The sequence below is a fragment of the Homo sapiens genome, chromosome 10 (assembly GCF_000001405.40).
Source record: "Homo sapiens chromosome 10, GRCh38.p14 Primary Assembly".
Classification (NCBI taxonomy): Eukaryota; Metazoa; Chordata; class Mammalia; order Primates; family Hominidae; genus Homo; species Homo sapiens.
This window is the reverse complement of record NC_000010.11, coordinates 101,559,904-101,568,997: the sequence shown is the minus strand read 5'-3', so window position 1 is coordinate 101,568,997 and position 9,094 is coordinate 101,559,904. Positions and strand designations below refer to the sequence as shown.

The window sequence follows — 9,094 nt, the reverse complement described above, 5'->3', positions numbered from 1 at the left end:
GCTGGGGTCTCAGTTCCTGTATCATCTGGTTTCTACTGGGAGTGGACCACTCCTCCTCTCAGGAGTGCCAGCCTCCCTCCCCTTGTTTGAGATCACCTGGGTCATCCCCTGGGCCCCTCATCCACTTTCAACACCGCAGGGAACCCAGAGTTGGGGGTAGGGAAGCAGCCTTCTCAAAGCCTGCCTCGATTTACTCTATCTCGGTGTCAGCAGCCAGGTGTCCGTGTGAATGCCTTTCTGCCTGCCATCCCCATTTTGCAGATGAAGAAGTTTGAGCTGAGAGAAGCCAGGGAGGAGCTGAGACTGGAATTCAGTCATAGCCTCTATTCTGTCCCACCTTCCCCCGGGTCCTGGCCTTCTCCCGCTCTCTGCTCCTCCTTAACTCCTGCCCAACTCTGCCTGCAAAGGAGACACCCAATGAGAGGGCCACTGAGGCAAGGGCATTCCGCCCCCAGGTTAGACACAGGGTAACAGAAAAGTCTTGGAGGAAGTGTGGGGCAGTGACAGTGGGATAGGGGAAGATATTCGGTCGTGCAGGTACCCTTCGTGGTGGGGACAATGGATGCCCCGTGAGTATGTATGTGGATTCATATGTGCACATGTATTCATGAATACAGTTATTCATTCAACAAACAGGTACTGAGTGGCTACCATGTGTCAGGCCCTGAGAATGTAGGGGCAACACTGGGAGCTTGCGAGTGCTGTATTCTAGCAAGGGGCGCGCGCACAGGATAGGTATGTCTGAGGGCTCTGGTGGGGCGCGGACTCACTGCAGAATAGAAGTGGACTTGGGCGCTGGCAGATGCGAGGCAGCAATTCTCACTTTGTGGACGGAGACATGGAATCTTCCCCTGTCTCCTCAACCCCCATTCCACTTCCAGCCTCTCACATACCCCCCGTCCCAAATCAAACTCACCAGCTCCTCTCCCAAACCTACTCCTGCTGGCCTGTCTTACTAGCTCAGCCTGGAAACCTCAGGATCCAGGATGGGCAACATAATCTTCAAGGCCTGGTGCAAAATGAAAACAAGGAGCTTCTTAATAAAAAATTAGAATTTCAAGACAGAGACAGTAGAATGTACAATCAGGCATGGGGCTCGTGTAAGTGCAGGGTCCTGTCAAGTCAGCCTGCCTGGCGCCTCCCGCCCGCTTACTCTCTGGTTCATTGACTTCCTGATCCTCTCCTTTCCTTTCTAGGCTAGCCCAGGCCTCACGGGTCTTAGGCTAGCCCAGGCCTCATGGGTCTCTCAGGTGGACAGGCTCCACCCTCCTCGATTGCCTCCTGGCTTCCAGCCTCCCAGTCCCAGTCTGTCTGAGAAGTCTCATTCCCACCACACTCAACCAATGCCATTCACCTGGATTCCTGTCCTCTTAGACTTCTTGTCCTCAAACACTCCCTACATTTCCCCGTTTCCATACCTTTTGTTCAGAATTCAGTTCCTCTAAAAAATTCACTCCTCCTTTAGCCACCTCCTCCAGGAAGACTGTCCTGATTTTCCAGTTGTAAATCTTATATCACAAACTATTTGGGTCAAAGCACATAGCAACTTTCTGCCTTCACTCACAGCCATTCATCTGCCCACTCCCATAAACTTAAGATTCTAGAAGACAGGGATGGTGTTACCTTCATCATTATAACTGCCCCAGCACCTAACTGACAGGTGCATGGTATGACTCAGTCAATACTTGTTGATGCAGCTGTGGGCATCTTTTACATGTGTGTGGGTGTTTAGACACCCTGAATTGTGTGCACAGAGCAGTGTGTAGGGCTTGTGTTCATGTGCAAGCATTTCTGCTTATATGTATACATATTTCCATATCTATGCATGAGCAATCATGTTAGGCGCATACATGTGTATGGACATAGTGGTTTCTGTAGGCTTGTGTAAGAATTGAAGGTACACGGGTGTGCACGGTGGTGTGTGCATGGATTTACATTGGCGGGTGTATACCCAGGTCTGGTGGCAGATGTATGTGTGTGCGTGACACAAAAGGATGTGTGCATGGTCCCATGAGGTCAGGGTTGTGCCTGAACAAGTGCTGCGGGTGCACCGTACAAGGATATAGGCGCCTGGCGCGTGTGCAGGCCATGTGTGTGCACAGCTGCACGTCCTGGCCGCAGGCAGGCCAGACGCCCGGTGAGCCCCCTGCGGCCGCTGAGCGCAGGGCTTTGTTCCTCCGCCGAGAAGGGCCGCGTGGTTTCACGGCTCCTCGGTCTGGGCGTCTTGGGCCCCGACGTGATTGGCGGCCCGGCGGCAGCGGCTGGGCTCCCTCCCGGGGCGGGCGGAGCAGGATCGGCTCCCGTTACCGGCACGGGGTGGGGGTGGGGGGGCTCCAGGCCATCCATCTTCTGTTATTACAGCGTAATGGGGCTGCTCGGGCGCCCGCCCATTTGTCATCGGCCTCGTTCGCTGATAACGGGCATTTGTCATCACTTTCCTCTGCGCCAATGTCATCAGCGCGGCTGACAGCGGGAGGGGGGGCGTGCATGAGCACAGGCGCGCACACATGCACATGGGCCTGCTGGATACATGCTCGCGCACACACACACATGCACGCGGAACCTGAGAGACACGCCGATGCTGGGGGACACATGTCCCTATGCAGGGATCAAGGTTCCCTGGAGAGGACACACATGCAGACACACACTCACAACAGCCTCGTCTGTCAAGATATTCCCAGCTGGAGATCCTCTTCCCCAGTGGAAGAGCTGTATGTAGGGGGGGCAGGGGAGAGGATATTCCTGGTTAATGGCAGCTTGCATGCAGGTGGCCCTCTGCCAGCTTCGTGTGCACACGTGTGACATCAGCCACCAACATTTACTGCGCTCCCCACAGGCTGTACAGGCCTGAATGTGACTGTGTGTTCCATTGGCAGCACAGGGACAGCCAGAGAGTCACAATCAGGCCGGGCGTGGTGGCTCACTCATCCCTGTAATCCCAGCATTTTGGGAGGCCAAGGCAGGCAGACCACAAGGTCAGGAGTTTGAGACCAGCGTGGCCAACATAGTGAAACCCCGTCTCTACTAAAAGTACAAAAAAAATTAGCTGGGCGTGGTGGTATGCGCTTGTAATCCCAGGTACTTGGGAGGCTGAGGCAGGAGAATCGCGTGAACCTGGGAGGCGGAGGTTGCAGTGAACCGAGATGGCACCATTGCACTCCAGCCCAGGTGACAGTAGGAGACTCCCATCTCAAAAAAAAAGAGTCACAATCAGGGCTCCCAGGACTCTCAGATACAAGGATGTTGGTGGAGTCTGCATGGCTGGCTGGGGGGTGGTGATGAGGTGGGGGCATGATGGCTGCTGGCTGGTGGGTGGTGGGATGACTGATCCCCACAATGCCTTCCTCCCAACCCTCCAGAGACAGTGTGGCATGGGAGTCACTCTTCCACTCCTGGCCCTATTCAGGCTCTGAGCCTAGGCTGATCTGCAGCAAGAGGGACTTAGGAAAGACTCCAGAAAGAACTTCCTGCCTGAAAGGGGTGTGAGGCAGATTAAGGACAGGGTAACACTGGTAGTCCAGGGAAGCTTGGAAGGGAAGGAACCTCCCCCACTTGTCTGTGTCCTATGCCCTCTAGGCTGGGTCAGGGGCCAGCCCACTTGGGGCACGGATATGTCTTTCTGATCCACATTCACTTCAGGATTGCAGAGGGGACTCCATTAGCGCTTATTAGAGAGAGACACCCACCCCCCCCTCTCTGGTTCCTGATTGTTTGGCACATATTATGTGCTCAATAAATTGCTGTGGAATGAATAAATGATTGAAGACAGAGTGTATGGGGGAGGTGGGAGGTCCTCCTAGTCCCTCCTAGAATGGCCACCAGCCTCTGATGGCCAAGATCTCATCTCATGCCCTCTCCCTAACTCCCCTTTTCACTCCTGCAGTCCCCCAAATTCCCCTTCTCCCCCAGCCTCTCCTCCTGGGTTGAGCGGGGAGGGCTGGGGGGAAGTTCCCCTGGCGGAGCAGGGCTCGCTTGTTCCTTGTAAATGAAGACCATAATTAACATTAAATTAAGGTAATACAAATGAAGGCAACATAGAGGCTGACAAGATGAGCGTTTGGGGAGGCAGTGGGGAGAAGTGATTCATATTTTTAATTTACTGTATGGATGGGCCGTGTGGCTGGGGAGCGGGCGGCTAGTGTGGAGGGGGTGTCGCCCCGCGATGTTTGCTGGGCTCTGAGTGAGCACACAATGACTATTAAACTCAACTGTCCATATAATGGGACAGACTCGACATGACGCCCACCGGAGCACCAGGAACCTGGCTGGCCAAGCTGTAAATCCTGACCACACCGCGCCCGCCTGCCCACCTGCCTGCCTAGCCAGCCTGGCCCAGGCCCAGGGCAGGACAGATGCAATCCCCAGGGAGCCTGAGAGGGGTCTTGGACCTGGGGAATCGAGGGGGCCAAGAGGGTCTGGGTTCTGCCCCAGAGTTGGGGGACACAGCAAAGTCAGATCCTGAATGTGCTGGGGTGAGAAGGGCCCTGGCATCCCAACCTCAGCGCAGCGCCTTGATGCCAGGATGGGGCTGGAGCTTGGGCCCCCCCACCCCACCCACATGGTCCATTCCAGGAATTGAACAGAAGACAATGATGTCCCATCCCAAAGAGGGGAATTAATCATTGTTGTCACTATCATTATCATCATCACCACTCACATTTGCCAAGCACCACCCCCGAGCACTTTCTTTTTCTTTTTTTTTTTGAGACAGGATCTCACTCTGTCGCCCAGGCTGGAGTGCAGTGGCATGATCACGGCTCACTGCAGCTTCCACCTTCCTGGGCTCAGGTGATCCTCCCGTCTCAGCCTCCCGAGTAGCCAGGACTACAGATACACACAACCAGACCCAGCATATTTTTGTATTTTTTGTAGAGACAGGTTCTTATTTTGTTGACCAGGCTGGTCTGGAACTCCTGGGTTCAAGCAATCTGTCTGCCTTGGCCTCCAATGTGCTGGGATTGCAAGGCATGAGCCACTGCGTGCAGGCCCCATCACCCCCAAGAACTGCTAATCCATTCACCTCTCCCAGCGTCCCCACGGCCATCCTATGAAGATATTATCCCTGTTTTACACATGTATAAACTGAAGCTGAGAGATGGGGAGTAACTTGATCACAAAGCTTGTAAGTGTCCACTGCCTTATGTTGAAAGAGTAAACCTCAGAGCCTGGGGCAGCCCCTGGATCCGGTAAACTCTGTGCAAGGAACAGAGGCCGGCATCCCAGTCAGCCCTCATCCATGGGACCCTGAGGCCTTAGACACGGAGCTCTCCAGGGACTTGGGGTGTGTGTGTCCACATCCACCCTCACTCCAGCCAGAAGAAAGGTGCCACCAACTCCCAGGCAGGCAAGGAGGGATTCCTGCTTACTCACTCTGCAAACGGGGCTGAAAGATGCTCGTCCCTGGGATGAGAGACGCAAGTGTAATTTAGGTTTTGATATTATGAAAGTCTCGCTGCTCTAAAACAGCAGGGCACTCGGTGCCTCATTAATAAAGGATAAACTCAGAGTCTATTTACAAGGCGCTTTTTGGGGTTATTTACTCTCCAATATACATATGTAATGTTGCCCATACTTACCGCTAGGTACGACTCTTCCTTCCAGCCTGGGCTTCCACCCTGGGAAGGGGGTCCCTGCGGGGTGGAGAGGGTTGCTGGGGAAGAGCGGGGATGCTGAAAGGCCATCCCTGGGAGTAGAGAGGCTCCATGGAAAATGACAGTCCCCATGGAGGGATGGGAGTCACAGAACTGTAGAGCTGGAAGTAGAAAGGGCAGAGGGCACAACCCATCTGCATCCCCTCCTGCCAGCTACCCTTCCTGAAGCCACTTGTGCTAGCCTGCCCTGCTGTCTCCAAGGCCAGTACCTTAAAGGTACTACAACGACCATGTATCCATAAACACTGACACAAAAGAGATGCAGTCCATGGGCTCCATGTCCCTGCTGGCATTCAAAGCTGTCTCTCCAACACCCTTCCCTCTGTGCCAGGCTGGAACTCCTGGACTCAAGCGACCCGTTCTCCTGGGTCCTCCCAACATGCTGGGATTGCAAGCATGAGCCACTGCGCCTGGACCCCTGATGATTGTTTTTTTTTTTTTTTTCCAAAGAGTCTCACTCTGTTGCCCAGGCTGGAGTGCAGTGGCATGATCTCGGCTCACGGAAACTTCCTACTCCCGGGTTCAAGAGATTCTCCTGCCTCAGCCTCCCAGGTAGCTGGGATTACAGGCGCATGCTACCACGCCCGGCTAATTTTTTGTATTTTTAGTAGACCATGTTGGCTAGGCTGGTCTTGAACTCCTGACCTCAGGTGATCTGTGCTCCCAAAGTGTTGGGATTACAGGCGTGAGCCACTGTGCCCCGGCCTCTGAGCACTTCTAATCCATTCACCTCTCCCAGTGTACTCATGACCATCCTATGAAGAAGATATTATCCCTATATCCCCATGGCAGCCTCCCTCACCAGGGCCCTGCCCTGACCAGATCATGCCCACGCTGGGAGGAGCTTCCTCAGCTTCTGAAAGGAGGCCCCCGCCGCAATTCCTATCAACAAGTATGTCCTGTGCAACTACTGTGCACCCAATCCTACGCCACCCTTGTCACAGCCCTGCCACCCCCGCCTCCCATTCTGTGCCCAACAAAGCTTGCAGTTGTTGAGGTCTTTTTCACACCAAGGTGTGAGGTCCCTCTCCCAGCTCCTTGTGGCCTCAGCTGCCCTGCACCCCCCTTCCTTTGTGGCTCCCACCTTGGCCTGCTCTGTTCACTTGGCATGCAGTGTTGCAGTGAAAATCCAGGCAGCCATCTCTTGTGGGGGAGTTCTGTTCTCATCCCCCTCTTATAAATGAGGGAACACTTAGAGGTTAGGGGACACACCCAGGTCATACAGCCAGGAGCATGCCACTTGGGGCTTTAACCCAGATTAGGGTTCTCACCTCCACAAGCCTCCTGGGCCTCCATGGCCTGTCCCGGCCCCTCTGCTTACCATAGGCCCCAACCAGCCCATGATCTCCAAACAGGTGCATGGATTTCCTCTCACTGATGGATCCATTTGCTCATGGAGTCACCAAACATCCACCACCTGCAGCTTTGGGCCTGGGCACATGGCCTGGGTGCGCATAGGCATGTGGGGGAAGGGAGGCCTCGCCTTGGTCAGAGACCCCATTTCATTCACAGGGGAGCTTGGAGTTAAGGCTGCCCACTCACCCTCCAGCTTGTGAACTGCAAGCCTTTCTTTCTGCACCTGTCAGCTCCTGTGATGAGGAGCGTGTGGCCCAGGGACGAGTCTGGGCGTGGTGATGTGGCATGTGTGTGGTGGGTGGGAGTGAGGCAATGTCAGGCTACCCCCCCGGCCTGGCCAGTTTGGACCAAGGAGACATCTGGTGGCTGTGAGATCTGCAGCCTTGCTGCAGGGAGCCCTGGGTGAAGGTATCAGGATCTGTCGAGTCCCTTGGGAGCCCCCGGAGGCCCAGAAGAACATCATCACCCTTGGGGGAGAGCTCACGGCTGCTTCTAGGCCTCAGGGCCTGGGACTCGATGGGAGAAGAGCCTGTGCTCATGTATCCTTCCCAGCCCCAAAGCTGGGGGAGAGCTGACCTGGAGGGTGCTGGACAGGGAGGATGGCAACCAGGAGGACCCATTCATCATTGTTGGTGAACAATGAGCCGTCACCACCCTAATTAAAGATGTAATTACAGCAAATACATTCTGGGCTGCGAATGAGTGACGGATGGCAGGAAGGCACCTTGTGGCCCACAGCCAGGAGACGCTGCTCCCCTAACGCTCCCCTCTCCAAGCTGGGGAACCCTTCCCTCAGCATCCCTCCAAGCAGATTATAGGGTGCCCTGGTGCCTCCAGAGAGGAAGGACTGAGGTTGGAGCTGGGGGCTGGTCAGGGGCTGGGGTCTGGGGCCTGGCTGGAGAAATGAGTGGGAAGGAGGCTGTGCAGCTGGGGTGAGAGGGCCTGGGCTGATGCCTGGGTCTCAGCCAGGAAGAAGTGGGTGTTTCTGTGTGAGCATAAGAGAGCACTAGGTGGGATTTCAAGGCACTCATGCGTGGGGGTAACTGGGCCCTTGCCAAGGCCTGGGTGGGGGTGTCTAAGAGCCAGACCTAGAGGACTCAGCCTGTGGACCAGTAACCACAGCAAGGCTCTGGTGTGCCATACTGGCTTTTTGTTCTGGTCTAGGCTTCAGAGACTCTCCTGAAGGCTGATTTGTCCTTAGCTGGGGGTCAGGATACAGGGCAAGGGTCTGGCCACCTGGAGGGAGGAGAGATGGGCTCCTGTGGCCGACCTGGCTTCTGCTGCTCTCCCCTTCAGCAGGGCAGGCCTTCAGCCACCCCTTGCTCCACAGCTCCAGCCTGGGACCACATCTGAAGTTGCAGGCATTGGTTGTCCTTGGGAGGCCTGGGGCTTGGGACACCTCTTCCTCCCCTGAGGATTCCAAGGCCTGTTTGCCCTGGGGCCCCCACCCCCACTTACCCTCAGGGGACAGGAAACACTGAGCACAGGGTCAGGTCACTCTGAGGCCAGCCTGCACTGTGAACCACTCCAGGGCCAAGACATGAAAACCTGCCCCTTGGGAGCTTGGTGGCCTCAGCCTCTTAGCCCTACCTGCTGTGGTGGCCCCTGGCCAGGTCCTTTGGGGTGTGTGGGCCAACCCCACTGGGGAAAGGGATGGGTGGGGAATGGTGGGAGCCCAGGCAGGCAGGCAGAGGGGCGGGAGGAAGGCCCCTGACAGCAGGACAAATGCTTGTAATTTTATAACCAATCGCAGTGTGTCCATGGGGGGCCGTTTGTGCCTCCACTCAGGACCAATCAGCCTGACAGAGCTATGAGTCCGCCTGAGTGAATGTGAGCAGCTCCCCCAACTACTTACTGCAATCTCATTACCCGGCCAACTCAAGACTGGCCAGAGCTGTGGGGCTGCAGGGAAGGGGGAGCCACCCAATCCAAGCAGAGCCAGGCCAGAGCCAGGGTGGGCCTGGGACCAAGAGGGCAAGGTGGGCAGGCCTTGTAGACCCAGCAGCTCAGAGGAAGGGGGAGGAAGGAGTTGGAGTCTCAGGAAACAACAAACAGTAAACACTGACTGGGTGCGGAGCATTTAGGAT

The 9,094-nt window shown here is 55.6% G+C and overlaps 1 annotated feature.

Annotated features, from left to right (window-relative positions):
* Positions 7,297–7,797: an enhancer, noted in NCBI's record as "H3K4me1 hESC enhancer chr10:103320958-103321458 (GRCh37/hg19 assembly coordinates)". NCBI's record gives its function as "activates a minimal SCP1, AML or CMV promoter by ChIP-STARR-seq in primed H9 embryonic stem cells {active_cell/tissue: H9 hESC(primed)}" and the evidence as "EXISTENCE:reporter gene assay evidence [ECO:0000049][PMID:30033119]".